Source organism: Homo sapiens, chromosome 1, assembly GCF_000001405.40.
Source record: "Homo sapiens chromosome 1, GRCh38.p14 Primary Assembly".
NCBI classification, from domain to species: domain Eukaryota; kingdom Metazoa; phylum Chordata; class Mammalia; order Primates; family Hominidae; genus Homo; species Homo sapiens.
The window spans coordinates 68,267,827-68,292,989 of record NC_000001.11 but is presented as its reverse complement, the minus strand read 5'-3'; the positions used below and the strand labels follow the sequence as shown (position 1 = coordinate 68,292,989).

The 25,163-nt window shown below is 40.4% G+C and overlaps 1 pseudogene, besides 3 other annotated features; it reads right to left on the bottom strand.

Moving 5' to 3' along the window:
* Positions 2,203–2,704: an enhancer, noted in NCBI's record as "H3K4me1 hESC enhancer chr1:68755969-68756470 (GRCh37/hg19 assembly coordinates)". NCBI's record gives its function as "activates a minimal SCP1, AML or CMV promoter by ChIP-STARR-seq in primed H9 embryonic stem cells {active_cell/tissue: H9 hESC(primed)}" and the evidence as "EXISTENCE:reporter gene assay evidence [ECO:0000049][PMID:30033119]".
* Positions 10,370–10,622, bottom strand: COX6B1P7 (cytochrome c oxidase subunit 6B1 pseudogene 7; annotated as a pseudogene).
* Positions 14,356–14,940: an enhancer, noted in NCBI's record as "NANOG hESC enhancer chr1:68743733-68744317 (GRCh37/hg19 assembly coordinates)". NCBI's record gives its function as "activates a minimal SCP1, AML or CMV promoter by ChIP-STARR-seq in primed H9 embryonic stem cells {active_cell/tissue: H9 hESC(primed)}" and the evidence as "EXISTENCE:reporter gene assay evidence [ECO:0000049][PMID:30033119]".
* Positions 16,022–16,649: an enhancer, noted in NCBI's record as "OCT4-NANOG hESC enhancer chr1:68742024-68742651 (GRCh37/hg19 assembly coordinates)". NCBI's record gives its function as "activates a minimal SCP1, AML or CMV promoter by ChIP-STARR-seq in naive and primed H9 embryonic stem cells {active_cell/tissue: H9 hESC(naive and primed)}" and the evidence as "EXISTENCE:reporter gene assay evidence [ECO:0000049][PMID:30033119]".

The following is a 25,163-nucleotide window of genomic DNA, read 5'->3' as shown; positions in this document are numbered from 1 at the left end:
ACTCTGGATCTACCTGCATAGGAGAGTCTTGGTGAAGGGTATCCTGGGAGGAGTCGAGATAAAAAGATAAACCAAAACACACAAAAGCAAAAAGCAAACAAAACGCAGGATTATTATTATTGTCAAAAACTAAAAACAGAGTGATACGCCTGCAATATTTCAAGTTGCAAATGCCCAGAAGGTGACATTGTCTCATGTGGGCAGCATTCTAGACCACTGCTCCATTTTCTGTAGCTTCTTTGTCATGGCAACAGGCCAAAAGGCAGGTGATTTGACTATAATATTGAGCAAGTTGCCTCCTCCCTCCAGGCCTCAGTTTTCCCATCGCTAAAATATATGAGCAAGACCAGACATTTTTTGCATCTCCAACCCTTCTGCTTTAGATTCCTGGGCTGCCTTGGTTATGCATTCTAACTTAGCAACCAGGAGGCTCCAAGGTCATTTCATACTTGATAAAATATCAGTTTTACCAATCCTCATCTGGGAGGAACAAACTGAGTAAACAATCTAAAATAGCACCAGCCACTTAGGATCCCTTAATACTGCCTAATCATAATGAGAATGTTTCAATATTTGTAAATTAATATGGGGAGAAGTGTGACATTGTGCCTTAAAACACTCTGGTAACAATTAGCACAGGATCTCCAGTGCAATTAGCACAGTTTCTCCACTCCCAAATGCTTTACTACAAAAAGTGCCTACTTCACTTAGTAACTTCACTCTCAAAAACTGACAGCTAAAAGCCACAATCTTGGTGTTGCAAGAATCCTAAAAAAACATGAGGTCAGCATTCTGTGTCACCACTGCACCTCACCAAATCTGAACTCTTATCTACCCAGAGTCTTTATCTCCCAGCTGCACCGTCTGCCTGAAGAGACTCTTTTCTTCCCAGTTGCTGTCAGCTGACTTGTCTGTCCTCAGTGGGAGCCTTCAGGTTCAAGGCTCTGTCTGGGGACTTCATATACAGCCTTGACTATTATTCTGATGGATCATTTTAATTCTCCCCACTTTGATCAAGTCAGTTTCCACAACAAACAAGACTCACCAAAAGCATTCCTGGGCTCACAAAGGCAAACACACTTGGCTTTGCATCACAGACATCAGAGGCCAGAATTCTTCTTCAGCTATTTTAACCCTTGGCTGCATAAGTTTCCCAGTTAACACTTTTTACCTCCCTTCCCTGCAACCAGAGACGAGTTAGACTCCTCCAGGGAAATGCAATGGTTTCCAGCCTTTAATTAAGTAAGGATCCAAGTGGCAGATGCAGTTCACACACACTGGAGCCAAGCCTTGGCTAGGAAGGAAGATCCTTTTGCTCCAAATGCTCTGCAGTTCAGTGAAAGTAACTTCAGCTAATAAAAATAGGTCTGTCTATTGAGGGTCAGCAGCCATTTTAACTATTTAAATATTATCTCATTTAATATTCATGAAATATTAAGTAGGTGAAATAGGTGTGTCAATTTCATAAAGGAAGAAACCAAGGATGATAGAAGTTAAGCAATTTGTCCATGATTATACAGCTAGGCTGGAATGATGCTGGAGCTTAAACCTGGATCTGTCTGGCTTCAGAGGCAGGCCCTAATGTTAAGACATTCAGTGTTACACTTTAGCACTCGTTAGGCTGTAGTAGAGAGACTTTTGAATTGAGAGTAAGACCAGAGTCTAAGTCTGACTACGACTATCTGCAGCAAATCAAATTTCTCTATGCCTTGATTTTTCTACCTCTAAATTAGGGATAGAATTAAGTCATTTTTTCCCCAAACCTCAGTCCTTCATTTTATTACTTTTGCCATATCGTCATACCATTCATACTATTATTTCATAACTATTTTCTTTAAATCACTGTACTTTTTAAAAGCAAATAAAATATTTTAAAATTAAACCTTATTAAATTAAAACCCAAAATGACTTGCTCTAAAAGGATGGTAATAAAAAAATAAAGATAAAGAAAAAACAAAGCCATTAAATTCTAGCTAGATACTCTTATCTACCTAAGGCTCTGAGCCTTAGGCTAACCTTATGTTAAACTGGAAAATACGCAAGTTGGTTAAAGGCTCTGCAAGGTAGTTAGGGTATATTGAAGACATACCAAAAAACAAACTGAGGCTGGGCGCGGTGGCTCACGCCTGTAATCCCAGCATTTTGGGAGGCCGAGGCGGGCGGATCACGAGGTTGGATCATGAGGTCAGGAGATCAAGACCATCCTGGCTAACACGGTGAAACCCAGTCTCTACTAAAAATACAAAAAATTTAGTCAGGCCTGGTGGCAGGTGCCTGTAGTCCCAGCTACTCGGGAAGCTGAGGCAGGAGAATCGCTTGAACCGGGAGGCGGAGGTTGCAGTGAGCCGAGATAGTGCCACTGCACTCCAGCCTGGGCAACAAAGTGAGAGTCCATCTCAAAAAAAAAAAAAAAAAAACTGAAACTTTTCACTCAGTATAACCAGGTGGAAAGAGGATCTAAAAGGAAACAACTTTTTCATTACTCAATATTTTATTTAACATCTTGTCTGTGTACTACCTCAAGTTATCTCACCTAACTTTCTTTTGCATGCTACCAGTGGTCCCATCTCATATGTGACCAAATCATATTGTAGGATTCTCTTTCAGCATTTCCAGCTCTAAAATCCTTTGATTCTAATTAGAAAAGCTAATGTTAATGACTATTAAATTTGAAACTGAATTCACTAGGACTCAATGAGTATTTTCTCACCTGCAGAGAAAGTAAAATAAGAACTTGACAATAAACTATCACTGCTATCAATTTATTTGAACAGAAAAAAATATGAAGACTCTTCCCTGAGCTGGTGTCCTCCAGGACTGCAAACCACACCATATAGCCCTATAGCCATGTGATAATTGTCCATATATACCATGGTGTGCACCATCAGGTTTACAAAACATGGTTGAAGCCCCTGAAGATTCCCAATTCTCTCTCAGGTCAAAATTATTTTCATGATAATACTAAGATGTTCCAGTCTTTTTAATTCTAATTTTCCAGAAACTACCTAAAGTGAGATACTACAGATGGAATGCAGAAATAGATGTGAGAATCCACCTGTCTTCAATTGAGACAGACATTACAGAGCTTCACAAAATGTTAAACAATGCCACGATTCTCACTACATTTTTTTATTTGGGAACTATAGTTATTTTTCATAAAAATAAAGTTATTGGCTGGGTGCAGTGGCTCACGCCTGTAATCCCAGCACTTTGGGAGGCCGAGGCGGGTGGATCACCTGAAGTCAAGAGTTCAAGACCAGCCTGGACAACATGGTGAAACCCTGTCTCTACTAAAAGTACAAAAAAATTAGCTGGGCATGATGGCAGGTGCCTGTAATCCCAGCTACTCGAGAGGCCGAGGCAGGAGAATTGCTTGAGCTCAGGAGGCAGAGGTTGCCTCACTGCAGTGAGCCGAGGTCGTGCCATTGCACTCCAGCCTGGGCAACAAGAGCAAAACTCTGTCTCAAAAAAAAGTTTTTTATGTTAACATATAGTGAATTTATTATTGTTTTCTAAAATAAATATTTTCAAAATGTCTCAGTTTAATTTCAAATATGGGAAATATCAGTAGATTTAATCCTCATAAACAAAGGTTCTTTGGATCCTCAATAATTCTTTTTTTTTCTTTAGAGACATGATCTCACTCTGTCCCAGGCTAGAGAATAGTGGTGCAATCATAGCTTACTGAAGCCTTGAACTTCTGGGTTCAACCAATCTTCCAGCCTCAATCCTCCCAAGTAGCTAGGACTACAGGTACATACCACCATGCCTGGCTAATTTTTTAAAGTTTTTTGTTTTTTTTTTTTGTAGAGATCAAGGTCTTGATGTGTTCCCAAGCTGGCCTCGAACTCCTGGCCTCAAGCAATCCTCCCAAAGGATCAGTTCAACCTCCCAAAGTGCTAGAATTACAGGCATAAGCCACCACATTGGCTGGATTCTCAGTAACTCTTTTTTTTTTTTTTTTTTTTTTTGAGACGGAGTCTTGCTGTGTTGCCCAGACTGGAGTGCAGTGGCGTGATCTCAGCTCACTGCAAGCTCTGCCTCCTGGGTTCAAACCATTCTCCCACCTCAGCCTCCCGAGTAGCTGGGACTACAGGCGCCTGCCACCACGCCCGGCTAATTTTTTTTTTTTTTTTGTATTTTTAGTAGAGATGGGGTTTCACCATATTAGCCAGGATGGTCTCCATCTCCTGACCTCATGATCCGTCCACCTCAGCCTCCCAAAGTGCTGGGTTTACAGGGGTGAGCCACCGCGCCCGACCTCAGTAACTCTTAAAGAGTATAAAGATGTCGGGCTGGGCGCGGTGGCTCATGCCTATAATCCCAGCACTGTGGGAGGCTGAGGTGGGCAGATCACCTGAGGTCAGGAGTTCGAGACCAGCCTGGCCAACATGGTGAAACTCCATCTCTACTAAAAATACAAGAATTAGCCAGGCGTTGTGGCGGGAACCTGTAATCCCAGCTACTCAGGAGGCTGAGGCAGGAGAATCGCTTGAACCCGGGAGGCAGAGGTTACAGTGAGCTGAGATGGTGCCATTGCCCTCCAGCCTGGGCAACAAGAGTGAAATTCCATCTTAAAAAAAAAAAAAAGAGTATAAAGATGTCCTGGCCAGGCATGGTGTCTCAGGCCTGTAATCTCAGCATTTTGGGAGGCTGAGGTGGGCAGATTGCTTGGGCCTAGGAGTTTGAGACTAGCCTGGGCAACATGATGAAACCCAGTCTGTACAAAAAATACAAAAATTAGCTGGGCATGGTGGTGTGTACCTGTAGTCCCAGCTACTCCTGGGGAGGCTGAGATGGGAGGATCACCTTAGACTGGGAGACTGAAGTTGCAGTGAGCCATAATTGCACCACTGCACTCCAGTCTGGGCAACAGAGTGAGAAACTGTCTCAAAAAAAAAAGATTATGTCCCAACTCCAAAATATTGGAGCGTGTCTGAGGCCATTATAAATGGCAGATCTAAAGTATATCTGCTAGAATATGAAAGAGAACTACCATAATGGGAAGAGTAGGAAAACTACACAGTTAGCAATTAATGGATTATTACATTTAGTAATAATGAATAGTTACTATTTCTAAAATGATCAACTTAGTTATATCATCTGTGATCATTACAAAGAAAAATTAAGAAATTAAGAGAAAATGGGCTGGGCATAGTGGCTCACGCCTGTAATCCCAGCACTTTGGGAGGCTGAGGCAGGTGGATCACGAGGTCAGGAGATCGAGACCATCCTGGCTAACATGGTGAAACCCTGTCTCTACTGAAAATACAAAAAATTAGCCGGGCGTGCTGGTAGGTGCCTGTAGTCCCAGCTACTCAGGAGGCTGAGGCAGGAGAATGGTGTGAACCCAGGAGGCGGAGCTGGCAGTGAGCCGAGATCGCAGCACTGCACTCTAGCCTGGGTGACAGAGCAAGACTCCATCTCAAAAAAAAAAAAAAGAAAAGAAAATGTAGCAACCAGAAAATGTTAACATTATATTTATATCAACAGAAGCAGAATGTTGGATTCTGAACACTCTGACCGCAGCAAATGTAAAACATCTCTGTTTGTGTTGGGGCCTGGAAAGGAACATGGAAAATAGAAACTTTTGTTGGAAGTTTGCAAAGGAAAATTTTTTCTTTTACAAATGATTTTTAGTGGTGTCCACTAATTACTTTATAATCACTATCACATGTAGCTAAAATTTAATTTTTTGTGTTGTCAAGAAACTGCCGAAAGGTTGGGACACTACAGTCATGAATTGCTGATCACACACCTGATTAAATCAACAAGTTGGGCCAATATAGCTTAGCAATTTTACTAGCTGAATCCCATCAACTCTATGGCTACAAATTGGTTGTGACTATCAGCTGAGACCATGGCCAAAAAATATAATTGTCAATTAGTGTGTTTCATATAGATAAGGCCAAAGAGTATCCCACCTACATTAAATGTCTCAAGCTCATTCTGATTCTGGGAGTTCAATTTACAAAGAGAATTAACATTTCTCTTTATTTTAAGTGGTTTCTATGGATACTTTCTATGAAGCATTTCATTCACATCTATCCAATTTAAGCTTCTCATTTTAATTTAAATACACTTTCTATTCCTCCAGATCTGTATATGATACACACAGTTCATTTACTGAAGATAATCTATAAAAAGCATTTATGCACACAAAATTTTAAATTAATACATTTAAAGGTTTAAAGAGAAGAAAGAAACTCCTACTATACAGAAATTCATAATCTCAGATTTGGAAGTCTATTTTTATTTCCATAATAATCACTCAAATCCTGACTTGTAAAGAATCATATTTTCTGGTTTCAACATTTTTTGTCATTATTAGGTTCCTCTTTCTTGATCTTATTTATTTTGTTTTATTGGAGTTTTCTTGCTTGTCAGAGTTGGGAATAAAACTTTTTGGGGCTGAGTGTGGTGGCTCACATCTGTAATCCCAGCACTTTAGGAGACCAAGACAGGAGGCTTGCTTGAGGCCGGGAGCGCAAGACCAGCCTGGGCAACATAGTGAGATCTTATCTCTACAAAATATAAAAATAAAGTTAGCTGGGCAAGATAGTGCACACTTACAGTCCTAGCTCCTTGGGAGGCTGAGGCTGGAGAACTGCTTGAGCCCTGGGAATCTGAGGCTGCAGTGAGCAATGAGCCAGCCACTACACTCTAGCCTGGGTGACAGAGGAAGTCCCTGTCTCTAAAAATATAAATAAATAAAAATAAAACCTTTCTTGTTTCTACTGCATTTCAAAGTCAACATTAAAAATTTAATTGATTACTCCGGTTTCTACTTAGTGTAAAAACATTGAGAAAAAAGTTTTATTATTTTAAAAGAATAAATCAGGCGCAGTGGCTCATGCCTGTAATCTCAGCACTTTGGGAGGCCAAGGTGGATCACGAGGTCAGGAGTTGGAGACCATCCTGGCTAACACAGTGAAACCCCATCTCTACTAAAAATACAAAAAATTAGCTGGGTGTGGTGGCGGGCACCTGTAGTCCCAGCTACTTGAGAGGCTGAGGCAGGATAATGGCATGAAAACCCAGGAGGCAGAGCTTGCAGTGAGCTGAGACAGCGCTACTGCACTCCAGCCTGGGCAACAGAGCGAGACTACGTCTCAAAAAAAAAAAAAAAAAAAAAAGAATAAATCTCGGCCAGGCGCGGTGGCTCAGGCCTGTAATCCCAGCACTTTGGGAGGCTGAGGCAGGCGGATAACGAGGTCAGGAGATCGAGACCATCCTGGCTAACACGGTGAGACCCCGTCTCTACTGAAAATACAAAAAAATTAGCCGGGCGTGGTGGCACGCGCCTGTAGTCCCAGCTACTCGGGTGGCTGAGGCAGGAGAATGGCGTGAACCCAGGAGGCGGAGCTTGCAGTGAGCCGAGATCGCGCCACTGCACTCCAGCCTGGGCGACAGAGCCAGACTCTGTCTCAAAAAAAAAAAAAAAAAAAAAAAAAGAATAAATCTCAGAAATAATATTGCTAGTGTTTGCTAATGTAATAAAAACTTTTTATTTGTAAAAACTTCTTTTTTTTCCAAGAAGGCCTATAATACCTAAATTTGTTAGAGAAGAGATCGGATGCCATCTCCAGCTAAAAGTCTTTTGTTTTTTTATCTACTATGCAAACTTTATACACCTCAGCCTAGAAACTTAGGCCTTCCACATTGTGGTTCCAGACTCCTACCAACTTTATCTACCATCCCGCCCCGCACAGACCCACAATGCAGCCAAACAGGCCTACTGAGTTCTCAGAGTCCCCTTGCTGACCTCTGGCCCTTCACTCCCCATTCTCTCCCCACTTGAAATATCTCCTCAGGCCTCCAATGTCTGGTCACTGAATGTGATTCAGGCCCTGTAGTTAAAGTACTATTGTTACTCCTTACAGCACACTGCGCTTCTTAAGATTCATGTGTGTGTTTGCTTTATTCTCTACTTCTAAACAAAAGCTCCTTTACATTATTTATTTATTTATTTATTTATTTATTTATTTATTTATTGATACAGAGGTTCACTTTGTGACCCAGGCTGGAGTGCAATGGCACAATCTTGGCTCACTGCAGCCTCGAACTCTGAGCTCAAGGGATCCTCCCACCTCAGCTTTCTGAGTAGCTGGAACCACAGGCATGTGCCACCACACCTGGCTTATTTTATTTTATTTTAAATAAGTAATATGTATGTATAATAATTACACAATTCAAAAAGCACCAATGCAAAGGTTATGCAAGGAAATGTCTCTTTCCCACCCTCCTCATCCAGTTCTCCTCCCCAGAGGCTCCCAGCGTTGCCAATTCCTTGTGTATTCTCTGCCACATGAGAGAGAGAGAGAGTGTGTGTATTAACACAAATGGCAACACATTTTCATGTCATTCTGCAGGGCAGACATACAATAATCTTGGGCAGGTTGTATCATACACAAGAGCGTCCAGTAGAAAGTGGTTAAGGGCTAAAACCCAGCCCATGCACCTCTTGTCAAGCTGTGTTCTCTGTGGCCTTGCTATTGTAGGGCAGAAAATGTGACATCTTTTTCTCACCCAACCCAAGGTTCATGGCTAAGACCCCTGTAACAAAGACAGAGTAATAAGAGAAAGGCATATAAATGTATTTAGTATAAGTTTTATGTGACACAGAAGCCTTTGTAAATGAAAACTCAAAGAAATGCAGGAATTTGTGTATTTTTGTGGACAATTACACCAAAGTATGACTGGAGGACAAAAGGGTATGATCTAATGGTAATAAACTGGGAGGAACATAGCAAGGCCTGTTTGTTCAGTTTCTTCTTGGTGTCCCCTGATGACATTCTTTCTCTCTGGGAGTATAGGAGTGGACACCTATCACATGAGGGTGTTCAGGGAAGAAGAAATAAAGACAGAGAGAACCTTCTTCAGGGGAGAAAGGCCAGAGAAAGGTGAGGGTGGGCTTCCTGTTTCTGCTGTTTTCTCAAATGCCAAGGTGCTATATTTTAGGATGTCATGTCCTGAACCCTGTCACTAGTTACATCCTAGATACATCCTAAAGAAAAAGGGCTTTCTTCAAATTTCCACAAATACATCCTAGAGACTAGCAGTGATTGGTCCTACTGCATAATTGTATTTCATTTACATTTTCATTTTCTTTTAAAATATCTGTTTTCTTCATTTTGCACTACTTCAAGAAAGGACTTGCATTACAAATTCATGTTGGGAAAAAGATTAATTTGCAAAACCTATTTTCAAACACTAGCCTTTTTTTTAGACTTGCCAATTTACAAGTCATCAGTGAACATACTAAGTGGTGGATATTATTGTTTCAAATGAAATCCCTATGAACTTCTCAGAAGTCATAAAAATATTATCAAAAATCATATTTATCATGGTTATAATTTTTGAAGCAATAATTTTCAGAACTTTGACTAGGCTAAGTTATTTAGAGTTTATTAAATCTTTAAAAAACTTTTATTGTAATAATTACACCTTCCTTCTTTTCCTCAAATAAGTCTAAGACATTAAAAAATTTTTAAGTATTATTTCCATACCGTGAGGGCTCACTGAGTGTCAGTTGCAGAATGTGTCAAAATTCCAGGCTGTTATAGTTCTAGAAAGAATTCATCTTTAATGCTTCTCACTCCAGGGGTCCCCTTTTGATGTGTTTCTGCCCTCATTTTCCAAGAGTTAAATCTACACCTGTGTTTCTTCTCAGAAAGTTCATCATTCTACTTTGTAGCTTGAGATTTGCAGGCCAAGATCGCAGCTTCTGGAAGTAAGAATTCAGAAATTCATTCTTATATCCAATCACCTATTTGTATTTTTTTTAAATAAAGCTATTCAGGTTATAGACCTGAGATTCATTCCTCTAAGAATTTTATTTCAAGTGACCCTGTCATTCTTACTGGACATGTTGCATTGAGGTCAGAACCTCTAGAAGACAAAAAGACATTTCCTCATGGCCTATAAGGTAGGTATATGAGTATTTGTAATGCCAGAGACGTTTAGCATTTACTCCTATTCTATGACCTTAAAAAAAAAAAGCCTAAACTTTTGGATATTTTTTTACACATTTTCAATGAGTATTTTTGTTGTTGGTTGTTGTTGTTTGTTTGTTTTAGAAACAGGGTCTCTCTATGTTGCCCAGGCTGGAGGGCAGTGGCTGTTTACAGGCATAATCATTGTGCATTACAGACTCAAATTCCTGGGCTCAAGCCATCCTCCTGCCTCAGCCTCCCAAGTAGCTGGGACTGCAGGTGCATGCCATCACACACAGCTTCCAATGAGTTGTTATTGCTAGTTAAGTCATGATTCAGGGTCCCAGGATAGGGATCACTATGTACCCAGGTCCCTCTTTACCATCCTGGGAGAAGAACAAAGGACAGAAGAGAGGTGGGGTGGAGCAAGCTCAGATCTTCCCAGGAAACATGCCTTCTGCCTGGTACTTGTCCCAGGCTAAGACCCATAATATAGGGCAGAGAGTCTTGTCCACATGTACCATTCACACACAAAGACATAACCCCCTTTAGCAGTCATTGCCTTCTGGCAGCAGTGGAATTCCAGGTAGGTCTACCAGTAGTTTCTGGTCTAGTTCTGGCTGGGGAAGTTGCTGCCACAAGGGGCAGTCCTGTAGTTCTTGATTTGGCCTCCGTGTCTTCCGCCATGGTGTTAACTCCTAAAGACTCCCCTGACACAACTCGCAGTTCCATGTGACCCTCCAAAAAAGATCAACTTTTAGATTTTTAATATAAAAATCAACTAATATGTCAATTATCATTTGCCACCCCAGTGCTGACCTTCATATCAATTCTTCAAACAGTTTACCTCTGACCTCAGGCTCAAGGAAGAGTGAGTAGGAGATAATGATGATGGTGATGATGATGATGATAATGATGATGATGATGTCACTAGGGCTCAGAAATCATACCCCAAAATAAAGGCCTCAGAAGGAAGGTTCATCTCTGACCTTCTCCTGTCCTCCTGTGTCTCTTCTGTCATTCTCCCCAAGGTAAGCCATAGAAACTAGATTCCTCTTCCCCAAGGCGGGTCATAGACACAAAAACCCCATTTCCTCAAAGCCAGCCTTAATACCTAAAAATATTACTCTAACCTTTCCCCACCTTTCTGGGTAAGAACTAGCCATAAAAAATCTCTCCAGCCCTTCTTGTTAGATTGTAGGTCATAAGACTCCCAGCCGGAAAGAATTCTGCCCTGTATGCAGAAGGAATGAATGCTGCACAGAAAGGCTAAGAAGAACCTGAATCGATAGCCCTTGCTGGGTTTCCCCACTCAGTCTATTGCCATTAGTTCATACATGTTTTGTCCAATCACATTTCTACACAGCTGTTCCCCCTTCTTTTTTTTTTTTTTTTTTCCGAGATGGAGGGTCTCGTTCTGTCGCCCAGGCTGGAGTGCAATGGCACGATCTCAGCTTACTGCAAGCTCCACCTCCCAGGTTCATGCCATTCTCCTGCCTCAGCCTCCCAAGTAGCTGTGTCTACAGGTACCCGCCACCACACCTGGCTAATTTTTTTTTTTTTTTTTGTATTTTTAGTCGAGACAGGGTTTCTCTGTGGTCTCGATCTCCTTACCTTGTGATCTGCCTGCCTCAGCCTCCCAAAGTGCTGGGATTACAGGCGTGAGCCACCGTGCCCAGCCAGCTGTTCCCACTTCTTATAACCTAAGCATTAAAAATGAACAGCTTTCCTTTTCTCTTTTGGTCTTCATTCTGAAGTCTCCTGTGTCATGTAAAATTAGAATTAAATTATTTTATTTTATTTATTATTATTATTATTATTATTGAGACAAAGTCTCACTCTGTCACCAGGCTGGAGTACAGTGGCGTGATCTCGGTTCACTGCAACCTCTGCCTCCCAGGTTCAAGTGATTCTCCTGCCTCAGCCTCTTGAGTAGCTGGAACTACATGCACTGTGCCACCATGCCCGGCTAATTTTTTGTATTTTTAGTAGAGATGGGGTTTCACCGTGTTAGCCAGGCTGGTCTTGAACTTCTGACCTCAGGTGATCCACCCGCCTCGGCCTCCCAAAGTGCTGGGCCACCGCGCCTGGCCAGGATTAAATAATTTTATTATGCTTTTCTCTTGTTAACCTTTCATTATAAGGGTGACAGCTTATGATGTGGAGGAAAGAGATCACCCTCTTTCTTTCCCTACAATGATGATAATGATGACGATGATAATGACTGGACAAAGAAGGAGCTATAAACGTAATGGTTGCTTTTTTGGATTTCTAAATGCCAGGGAGTCAAAAGAGCCCTGTCAAAACATCCTGCTTCATATAAGGTAAGAGATATTCCTGGCATAATGTTCACAAAGTATTAAGTATTACTTATTAGTAATAAGTATTCAGACATTTTTGCCTTTCTCTGTATTAAGGGGGTCTAAAATATTTTATTGTAGCATAAAAGTTGTTTTGAGTTAAAAACATTTGAGAATGTGCTTTTTTTCCTTCATTATCTGCCTAAGAGCACAGCCTCCTATTAGAAGTCAAGATAACAAAACTGTCATTGTAAATCCCCTCTTTGGTAGCAACGAGGGAAGACTGACTCTCTTATCAGCTTCCTACCCAAACAAACAGACATTGTCACAAAACTATGGTGTCTCCCATCTACCCTCCTGTAGAAGAGGAAAGGTGTAATAACTTTTCTTACCCATCATAAGGATCATGGCCAACACTCCTATAACAAAAGGCAAGAGAACAAGAGAAAAGCATGACAAATGTATTTAACCAAAGTTTTATGTGACATGGGAGCCTTGAGAAATAAAGAGCCAAAGACCCAGGGAAAATTGTCTGTTTTTATGCTTAGGTTTGATGAAGAACTGACAGCCATATAGAAATGTGATTAGACAAAAAGGTATGATCTAATGCTAACAGACTGACAGGAGAAACCCAGCCAGGCCTGCCTTTCTGTTCAGATTCTTCTCGGCCTCCCTATGTAACATTCCTTCCTCCTGGGTATGAGGCTGGACTCCTCTGGAATGAGATTCTTCAAGACAGAAGGAGAAGAGTGGACTTCCTAGGTTTTATGGCATGCTTGGAGGAAGAGGAGTTCTGGTTTCTATGACCCACCTTGGGGAAGAGGAGTTCTGGTTTCTATGACTCATTTACTTAGGCGAAGAAAAAGAGACAGGAGATAGGAGGGTAGGAAGAGGTCAGAGAAACCCTGTTTCTGAGGTCCTTCCAATGTCCTTCAGTTCAAAGTACTCAGCATGCCAAGGTGCCATACTTTGGGGTATCAGATTCTGAGCCCCAACACTCCTAAGGGCCCATTTATCTTTCCTAAAAAACATTTGTTTTCCTGTAAGTACCCTTCTTCTCCTGTTAAGATAGTATACACGCTCCAAATTCTATTAACAACTGCCTCCTTGAGTGGTTATGAATGCCAACATACATTTGATATATGTGAACAAAAATCTGTCTTTTGCCTTGCTAATCTGTCTTTTGTCAGTTTAATATGCAGACCCTCAAGCACTAACCATAAGAGGGTAGAGAAAAAGCTTTTTTCTCTCCAACAGCATCATCTCCTTCTGGGAAAATAAGACTCACCCTTCAAGACCCAGCTCAATGCTGCATTTTTCCTTCAATAGGAAGTGTTCTGTCCTTCTTCCAACCTTCTAAGAAATTTGCTGATATCTCTTTTAGAGCATTTCTCTCATATATCTTACAATAATGTACCATTTGTTTCCTCTGTCATATTCATATATATATATATATATATATATATATATATATATATTTAAACAAAGTCTTGTTCTGTTGCCAGGCTGGAATGCCGTGGCATGATCTTGGCTAGCTGCAACCTCCGACTCCCTGGTTCAAGCGATTCTCCCGCCTCAGTCTCCCGAGTAGCTGGGATTACAAGCACACGCCACCATGCCCAACTAATTTTTTGTATTTTTAGTAGAGATGGAGTTTCACCATGTTGGCCAGGATGGTCTCGATCTCCTGACCTTGTGATCCACCCACCTCGGCCTCCCAAAGTGCTGGGATTACAGATGTGAGCCACCGCTCCCGGCCTACTTTTTTCTTTCTTTTTTTTTTTTTTTGAGACAGAGTCTCATTCTGTCGCTCAGGCTGGAGTGCAGTGGTAAAATCTTGGCTCACTGCAACCTCTGCCTCCTGAGCTCAAGCAATTCTCCTGCCTCAGCCTCTGAGTAGCTGGGATTACCGGCACCCACCACCATGCCTGGCTAATTTTTGTATTTTTAGTAGAGACAGGGTTTCACCACGTTGGCCAGGCTGGTCTTGAACTCCTGACCTCAAATGATCTTCCCTCTTTGGCCTCTCAAAGTGCTAAGATTACAGGCGTGAGCCACCGTGCCTAGCCTAATATACATGTTTTAAAGACAAAGACTGGTTCTATCCCACGTTTGGGCTTCCAGTACTTTGTATATCTAATAGACACTTGGTAAATATTCAGTGAAAGAATATGGCCTGGAAGGAAGAAATGAAATATGTCTGTTGGCCTCAGCATCAGGAATCTGAATAGTTCCTAAGCCGGTGGCAGTCACTTCTTAGCTATTAGCTTTGGCCAAGTCCCTTTTCATTCTCAGCCTCAGCTTCCTCATTTGCAAAATGAGAATAATAGCACCTCTGTGGAAACTTTCATTTTCATGGTGATTAGATGAGCCATCTCACTTAAACATCTAGCAGAATGTTTGGGACATCAAAGACACTCCATAAAGTTAGTTCCTCTCTGCTTCCTTCACACCTAACAGGGGTCTGTACTTTGAGGAAACTCAGTGGTCTTCACATCTTCATCCTATCTGAATATCACTTCCAGGAGCCTGCCTCCCTTTCTCCTGCCCAGGTTAAAATTGCCCCAAATAAGAACAACATAGGTGGGACAAATCCCTTCCAGAGCCGTAGAGAGCCAAAAAGCCAGGACTTCTGGAAGCTCCCCTGGTGTTCTAGGCATACTGTTAGATCAACTTGTCAGCTCACTGTTACCTGTGTCAGCTGAGAGAGGGAGGTTAGAATGGTGGTGGTGGTGGTGGTGGAGGGGGCTTAGCTGATAGAATTGAGCTTAGAAGATGAATGGGGATGGGTGAAGTGGCCACATAAGATGGCTAGGCCAAGAGAAAGGAGGGCTTTGGTAATGAGAACAATGTCTTTATATGTGTGTTTCTCTGGGAATATATATAAATCTGTGTGATTTTGTTCTCCGTGTGAATCTGTATGTCTCTGCTTATGTGTACAGGAGAATCACCTAAGAGAAATCCATCCATCTATCCATCCATCCATACATCCATCCATCCATCCATCCATCCATTCATCCATCCATCTATCCATGCTTCCACTCATGTATTCATTCAGTCAGTCATCCGTTCATTTTATTTAAATTAAAAGAGATTTCCAACCATCTATTCATCCATCCATTTATTCATTCAGTCAGTCATCTTTTCATTTCATTCAAATTAAAAGAGCTTTTTAAAATGCTTCAGGTACTAGAGAAAAAAAGTTAAATAAAATATCCTCTACCTGCAAGGAGTCTGACTATAATCTGTTTGCAGTTTGTTGGAAACAGACAAGTAAGTATTTTACAAATACTGTTCTAAGATAGAGGCTAGCACAAGATGCTAGGAAACAGACCAAGGAAAGAACCCTGGAAAAAGAAGTACTAAGTTGGGCTTTTTGGTTTTGTTTTTTTTCTTCTTTGCAGGTTCCAAAAATACATTTAGCTCCATATATTCCCCATCCCACCTCCTTCCACCCCAGAGTTTGTTTAAGGAGATTTTTTTCTTTTGACTTGTGCTAAAAACCCAGTGCCGCAGCATTTCCTCTCTGGTATAGAGGCCATCCTTCTCCACCAATTTCAATAAAATAAAATCAAAGTAACTTTTAGTTATATCACTTCCCCTTGTTTGTTGTGGGAAATTATGAACTCTTTGAGGCACCAGCACAGTTTCTTAGAATATAGAAAAGGCTCAATAAACATTTCCCGAATAGTGGGCAAGTGAATGAAAGAATGAAGTTCTCTACCTGTGCAAGTCTTATGTGTCACATGGAGACCCCTCCTCTGGATTCTCAGGGTCATGAGAGCAGCCTGACACTGGGTCTGGCCATCCAGAAGCACTTAAAAAGTGATAGATAATAGTGTAATTAGTTACTACCATCTATAATTACTATTTAGTGGGTGGTTCCAAAATATTTAACATATTTATTTTTACTTTTAGAGTAAATGGGTTGGGGGGTGGGGCGGGCAATGGAGAGAGAGAACACTTTCAGGCCATGATGAAAACCATGTGAGGCACTCCACAGCTGTTTTTCAGACCTCTGCAGGAGCACCATGCATTGCCTCCTTCTCTCAGCCAAATTCCAAGATCTAAGGGTTACCCCCCAGGAGGGAACATGCCATTCCCAGCAGAGTCCATTATCTCTTGCAACCTGTTATCTAAACAGATTGTCTCCTTGGCTCCATTAGATGAGCAGATAAGCATACCTGAAGCTCCTGGGGCGCTCTGCCATTTACATAAGATCCCAGTGCCTTGGGCCACTGCCTAGTGCCTAAGGAACCCAAAGGTTGTCTCTCTCAGAACTCAAGACTTTCACTCCTTTGCCTCCTAGGCATTTGCCAGTCACAGAATTCTCCACTACCAGGCCTCTTGGCAAACCAAGTGTCCAGACCAGTCTGATTCCCCAGGTTTAATCCTAAACCAGTAGCTTGCGTCTTCCTTTGCTGAGACCTACTTTGAAAGCCAAAAGGACTGAGTTGTCTGCAAATAATTCCAATGCCACCATGAGATTTGGGGTTTATTTTATTTTATTAGAAACAGGCTTTTGTTATGTCATCCAAGCTGACATGGAACTCCTGGGCTCAAGTGATCCTCCCACATCAGCCTCCTGAGTAGCTGGAACTACAGGTGCATGTCATCACACCTCGCTTTTAGGATTTGTTTTTAATAGAAGTGAGTTATCCATTAGCATTTGTGAGACATATCTGGAACGTCACCTCAAGTATGAAGACTGACTTAACTCACTCCAGCTACCTGGATTTTCATTTTGAAAAACTAATGTCTAGGCCTGGAGCTACAGTTTTGCTCCCAGTTCAAAAATGTCTGGCATATAATAGGTGCATAAGAAATGTTGTTCCAATTAATGGAGAAAATGTCAGTTTGGCCTTCATCTGAATGAAACATTTACCTTGTTTGGGTAGAGAGTTATGAATCTGGAGATGGCTGGTCCCTCAGTCTACCCGTTCAGAAAGAACATCACTCAGTAAATCATACCAGGCAGTCAGTCGGCACTTTCAAAAACTGTGCTTCATTATGGTAGGACTGGGAGTATAGAAGGAACAAAGGGAGTGTGTGTGTGTGTGTGTGTGTGTGTGTAAATATATATATATATAACTTGCATAATTTTAAATTTTATACAATAAAGATAGAGCATACATATGACAAAATACTAACATGAATGAACCCTTCATGTTATGGAAATATATACTACGTCTGTTCTTTTCTATATTCTGTATTTTTTGTTGTTGTTCATAAGAGACAGGGTCTTGCTCTGTCACCAACTAGAGTGCAGTGGTGTGATTATATCTCACTATAACCTCGAACCCCTGGACTCAAGGGATTCCTTGAGGCTGGGATCACCTTAGCGTCCCCAGATGCTGGAATTACAGGAGTGAGCTGCCGCCCCAACCATATATTCTATTTCTAGCTACTCTATATTTCTATTTCTGAAAATTGTCAATTTTTTTTTTTTTTGTCATTGTTGTTGTTGTTGTTTAAGATGGAATCTCACTCTGTCGCCCAGGCTGGAGTGCATTGGTGCGATCTTGGCTCACTGTAGCCTCCACCTCCCAGGTTCAAGTGATTCTTCTGCCTCAGCCTCCTGAGTAGCTGGAAATACAGATGTGCACCACCATGCCCAGCTAATCTTTGTATTTCTTTAGTAGAATCGGGGTTTCACCATGTTGGCCAGGCTCAAACTCCTGACCTCAAGTGATCCTACCACCTGGGCCTCCCAAAGTGCTGAGATTACAATCATGAGCCCCCGCACCCTGCCCAAAGTTTTTTGTTTTTTTTTTTTAACTATGTTGCAAGGATTTGATCACCTAGAGAATGTGGATTAAAGGGAACCAGAGCTCTTTCACAAAGGCAGAATGTCTTCTGCTCCTATCTTTTTGAAAATGTACACTTAGTCCTACATCCCTCACAACAACATGAAGTGTTCAATATTACACTAGTCATTTTGCAGATGAAAAAAAATGAGGCATTGAGACATTAATTAACCAGCTCAAGATGATACAGATCTATCTGACTGAACTGGGCTTCAAAACAAGCAGCCTGTCTTCAGAACTCTCCCCTTTAATCATTGTCATAATGAACCAGAACCATCTGTAACAGAGAATGGAGCAGCAAGAATAGCTATCTTCTGCCTCTTTTCTGGAGCCAAAAACTGATCTGGAGAACTTCACACTCTTTCTAAGGCCATGTTATCTCAACCTTTTTCCCCGCTTTTATCCCTACTCTCTGCCTATTAAGTAGACTTTTTAGATCTTTTCTGATCATTCCCTCCCCACGAAATTTTAATACCACATATATGCCTTATATCTGTTTACGTATGATGAGGGGCCACAAAACATTTTTATATTTAAGATTTTTTTTAACCTTCCTAATAACCAACTTTCACCTCCGTGGCGGCAACATTGTCCCCCATTAAGAATGTGTGTTCTGAGGAAACCAATATTGAAGATTTCTGTAAGATCTTTTATGTTGCCATTGTTTATCCATATGTCACAAATACATGGTGTGAAACAAAAATCTCCCACATAGACTCCCACAGGAAATACAGTAATGGGAGAATTTCGGTTCTTTCTCCCTGGCTTCCGAGGTTGTGTCTCAGGAGCAACTGCTGGGGTGTTCATGAGGGGATGGAGAGTGAGTAACACCACAGTAATTGCCTCAGAGCTGGAGACTCCTGTTGTCCTTATTATACAGAGCCAGTTTCCAATTACATGTGCTAATGAGGTCCAGCAGTAAGATGGGTAATTGCAATCCACAAGAACTCCCAAACCTCATTTAGAAAGCTGTTTCAAGCATCTCTTGAGCCTGTGAACCAGACTAGGATAACTATTCCTCTTCTTCTTGAACCTGTAAGAACCAGACTGGGATGACTGTTGATTTTCCATTGTTTCCAGCCTCAAACAGAGAAGGAATAACGATCGGGCCTTGTTCACCTTGCATGTTTTTACTCAGGGCATTCCGTGAACCAAGCACTTTGTTGACCCCATTCACAGAGATGTCTAGTATGTACCCATAGGCTGCATATGTGGTAGGTATCGTCCTTTCTATTTTGAAGATGTGAAACTGACTGATGCAAAGTGTTACCAGTAGGAAGTAGCACAGTCAGGGTTCAAAATCTGGTGGTTCTAATTCCAGGTACATTCCTTCATGGTATCTTCAAAGCCTTATGAAAAAACTGGAAAGACCTGGAAAATGTTCAATTCAATTGAATTCAGTGCAATTTGAATTGTTAATCAATTTAAATGTTCATCATTTGAGCTTTAAAGGTAGGCAAACTGGTTTTTTTTCTTTCTAACTATATGTCCATAAGAAATTTCCTTAATGGCCCTTGCATGTTATTCAAAATTCTAATTAGTAAAACTGTATCGTCATGAAGATTAAATGAGGTAATGTTATCAAGCACCTACTATATCATCTGCATCAAAATATCCTGTTTCCTACTCCATTCATCGGTTTGGTCCTTGTATCATTTTGTATCATTTCTTTGTTTTTTCCCCTTGTGGCCTTATTGTTTCCTGACATTTTAAAATATCTATCTGGCCTTCAGAGCTGAATTGTAAGAACTTCAGGATCAGGAGCTGTTCTCATAAAGATGGTTCTCAAATTTCGAAATTTTTATCTTTTTTTTTTTTTTTTTTTTTTGAGATGGAGTCTCGCTCTATTGCCCAGGCTGGAGTGCAGTGGCACAATATCGATTCACTGCAACCTCTGCCTCCTGAGTTCAAATGATTCTCCTGCCTCAGCCTCCTGAGTAGCTGGGATTGCAGGCACCCACCACCACATCCAACTAAGTTTTGTAATTTTAGTAGAGACGGGGTTTCACCATGTTGGTCAGGCTGGTCTAGAACTCCTGACCTCGTGATTCGCCTGCCTCGGCCTCCCAAAGTGCTAGGATTACAGGCGTGAGCCACTGTGCCCTGCTTCAAATTTGTATTTTTTTAATGTGTGAAATCTTATACATTGCACATTGACACTCAAAGTACTAAATTAATATCAGCTTCCACACATCACCCAATGAGCATGAATTTGAACTCTCAACTAGTGGTGCCTTCGGCCAGGATTCCTAGGTTCAATTCGGATGGCATCATTATCTTTATGCAGCAATTTTTGCTTGTTCTATTATTTGAATAGCTAATCGCATTTGCCCTTCTAATATGTGAAAAGCCATAACAAAAAAGTGATTGTGACATAATAAAAGATATCCCCTAAATGGCAGATCTACATCTCAAATAGATTATTATTGGACTTAAGCTGATATTTGTGTTCAACTGTGAAGAGTAAGAATAAAATTAAGGGCCATGCATGAAGCATTGGAAGTCTGTCTTTTCAGGGTCAGCCTAAGAGGAGAGGAGTAGTGGTGGGGACATGAAGAACACTTTAGAATTTTAATTGTGAATCTGCATAAAAATCATTGACAGAGAAGTTCAAGGGTTTAAAGAGACATAGCCAAGGGTAAAGCTCACACAGATTTCTCAATTAAGTAGAGATTGGCAGAGTTGAATTTTTCTTTAACAAAAATATTTTTAAAAACTAATACCGGCAGGGCGCAGTGGCTCACGCCTCTAATCCCAGCTCTTTGGGAGGCTGAGGCGAGCGGATCACAAGGTCAGGAGTTCGAGACCAGCCTGGCCAATATGGTGAAACCCCATCTCTACTAAAAAAATACAAAAAACTAGCCGGGCGTGGTGGCGGGCGCCTGTAGTCCCAGCTACTCGGGAGGCTGAGGCAGGAGAATGGCGTGAACCCGGGAGTCCGATCTTGCAGTGAGCCGAGATCGCACCACTGCACTCCAGCCTGGGAGACAGAGCGAGACTCCGTCTCAAAAAACAAACAAACAAACAAACAAACAAAAAAACCATGAAATCATTTCATAATACCATGAAATCATCACTATAAGTTCCTGCTCAATCTCTGCACAACAACATTAGCAAATTCTTCTTCCCACAGTAAAATGATTTGGTTGTTTTGTTTACTAAATGTCACTTTTAGGAAGTAAGTTCTGCAAGGGCAGGAATATCTGTTTTGTTCAGAGATGTGTTCTAAGCACACAGATCAGCACCTGGCATGGAGTAATCGCTGAATAAGTATTTACTGAATGGAATTCAAGTAAACTGAAGTTTAAATAAGATATTACTTTGTAAAATTATCTGTTATACATCTGATGAGAGGTTAATATTCAAAATATATAAGAAACTCAAACAACTCAATAGTAAGAAAACAATCTAATACAAAAATGGGTAGATGGTTTGAATAGGTATTTCTCAAAATAAGACACATAAGTGGCCAACAGGTATATGAAAAAGATGTTCAGGATCACTAATCAACAGAGAAATGCAAATTAAGACCATAGTGAGAGATATCACCTCGCAGCTATCAGAATGGCTATTATTGCAAAGATGAAAGATAACATGTTGGCAAGGATGTGGAAAAAAGGCAACCCTTATACACTGTTTGTGGAAATGTAAATTAGAACATCCATTATGAAAAAAAAATATGGAGGTTCCTCAAAAAATTGAAAATAGAACCCATGATATGATTCAGCAATCTCACTACTGGGTATATATCTGAAGGAAATGAAATCAGTATGTGCAATAGAAGAGACAGCTGCACTTCCACATTCATTGAAGCACTATTCACAACAGCCAAGATATGGAATCAACCCAAGTGTCCAGCAATGAATGAATGAATAAAGAAAATGTGGTATATGTACACAATGGAATACTATTTGGTCTTTAAAAGGAAGGAAATTGTGTCATTTGTGACAACATGAATGAGCCTGAAAGACATTATGTTAAGTGAAATAAGCCAGGCACAGAAAGATACATACCACATGATCTCACATGTGGAATCTAAAGAAGTTGGACTCAGAGAAGTAGAGAGTAGAATGGTGGTTACCAGGGGCTAGAGAGTGTAGGGGGCTTAGGAAAATGTTGATCAAAAGACGCAAAATTTCAGTTAGGTAAGTTCAAATTAGTTAAAATAAGTTCAACAGCTCTATTGTACAACATGGTGACTATACCTAATTAAAAAGGTATGTAACTATTTGCTGCCGGGTGTGGTGGCTCACGCCTGTAAACCCAACACTTTGGGAGGCTGAGTCAGGCAGATCATGAGGTCAGGAGTTCAAGACCAGCCTGGCTAACATAGTGAAACTCCATCTCTACTAAAAGTACAAAAAATTAGCCGAGTGTGGTGACAGGTGCCTGTAATCCCAGCTACTCAGGAGGCTGAGGCAGGAGAAATGCTTGAACCTGGGAGGTGGAGGTTGCAGTGAGCCGAGATAGTGCCACTGCACTCCAGCCTGGGTGACAGAGCAAGACTCTGTCTCAAAAAAAAAAAAATTATTTGCTATATTCAATTTTTTTCTCTGTTTAATAATTATGTGATCCTTCTATAACCTAGGAGTTTAAGAAAATCTAAAATAGATAATATGATTAGGATTTTATTATTTAGCTCTCACAGGTTCAGAAAAGCTGAGTACCAAGTTAGGCTCTGTCATGCGTTAGGCATGTAACCTTGATCAAGTCACTAAACCTCCCTGAGCCTGATTTAAGATAGATAAATAGTAACATATTTATGTAACAAACCACATATTTATCTTTGTATCTGTACTGCAGAATTAGGACAGTTTATAAGAATACCTACAATAAACTAAAGTAAATAAATTGCATACAGAAATATGTAAATACATATAAGTTCCAAGAAAAATACAGGTTGAGTGGGAAAACAAGACTAAGTAAAAGGGCTCCGTTTCTTTTTCAGTTCTTAAGATACAACCTTAGAGATTAATGTGAGAATCAAATGATTTAATAGGATGCTGTTTGATAAAGAGTTCATTGACCATGATGCACAGAGAGGCTGTATAAAGAGAAACAAGCCCAGCCATACCTCACATTCCAGCCACCCCCATTGGAGCCCCAGACGTGTGAGTGAAGTCACCATAGACTCTCCAGCCCAGGTGAGTCACCCTGTCCAGCACCACACAGCAGGGATAAGCTGCCACCACCATGCTCTGCCCAAATTGGAGAATTATGGGCAAAAATATGGCTGTTTTAAACCACTACCTTTTGGGTTAGCTTTTTATACAGTAATAGATAAACAGTTTGGTTTCATTTCTTGGTCTCAATAGCAGCAACTTTCGTCTCCTGTCTGGAGCAACTCCCTCTTTATTTCACCAATTATCACTCCACTATCTGTCCTTTTGCATCCATGGATTTTGAAGGAAGGTCAGTGGTATTGTGTGGAAAAGGCTTTGGCCTTTGACTGATACCTCCAAAAAAATTATCATGTGTGAATACTAAACAAAAATAATATTTAAAGCTGCAAATTGTTTGGCAATACAAAAATAGAAATCTGAGCCTTCTATTGACCAAAAATCAGAAATTGGATGTCACAGTGGCTTGTTTGCATTAGGCCAGAAGGAAGAAAAATGATATTAGTCATTCCCAGTGAGCAACAGTGAGAGATTGGCACGTGCACATGAAATGCAATCTCGCTTCCCATAGAAAGTGATTAAAAAGATTAACACACACACAAACACACCTTTTGTATTCCCAATTTTAATATATTGTACAACAAATACGTTAATATCAAGGAAAAGAAAGTAAGCCACAAGCTTTTCACCAAAATGTAACTACAGTCATGTATTGCTTAATGATGGGGATACCGTCTGAGAAATGCATCCTTGGGCAATTTTGCTGTTATTCAAACATCATAGAGGGAACTTACACAGAACTAGATGGTATAGCCTGCTAACACCTCAGGTATAAGGTATAGTCTATTGCTCCTAGGTTATGAACCTGTACAGCATGTTAGTATATTGAATACTGCAGGCAATTGTAACACAATGGTAAATGTTTGTGTATCTAAACATAGGAAAACTGTAAAATAGGAAAATACAGTAAAAATAAAATATCATATAACACACCTATATAAGGCATTTATTATGAATGAAACTTGCAGGACTGGAAGTTGCCGTGGGTAAGTTGGTGAGTGAGTAGTGAATAAATGTGAAAGTCTAGGACATTTCTGTACACTATTGTATACTTTACAAACGCTACACTTAGACTACACTAAATTTGTTTTAAAATATTTTTCTTTCATTAATAATAAATTAACCTTGGCTCACTGTAACTTATCTACTTTATAAATTCAATTTTTTTAACATTGTGACTCTTCTGTAATAACATATCTTAAAACATACATTTTGCAGCTGTTCACAAATATTTTATTTTTTTATCTTTATTCTGTAAGCTTTTTTTCTACTTTTATCATTTTTTTTTAACTTTTTTACATTTTAGTTAAAAACTAAGCACAAAAACACACATTACCTAGGCCTACATAGGGGCAGGATCATCAATATCACTATCTTCCACCACTGCATCCTGTCCCACTAAAAGGTCTTCAGGGTCAATAATACACCTGGAGCTCTCATCTGTGATAATAGTGCCTTCTTTTGGAGTACCTCCTAAAGGCCTGCCTAAGACCATCTTTCAGTTAACTTTTTATTTTTATAAATAGAAGGAGTACACTCTAATATAATGATAAAAATATAGTACAGTAAATACGTAAACCAGTAAGTTTATTATTATTATCAAAGTATTATATACCGCACATCATTGTATGTGCTGCACATAATCATATGTGCTCTACAACTGGCAGCACAATAGGTTTGTTTGCAACCAGCATCACCACACACGTGTGAGTAATGTGTTTTGCTCCAATGTTATGATGCCTACAATGTCACTAGGCGAATAGGAATTTTTTAGCTCCATTTTAATTTTATGGAACCACCATCCTATAGGCAGTCTGTCATTGACCAAAATGACATTATGCAGTGCAAGACTGTATTTTTATCTTGCCAAGTTCCTTTTCGATCCCTTTCCAAGTGCATTAACTGTGAATCCTTATTTTTAGCTGATTAATTATCTAACTC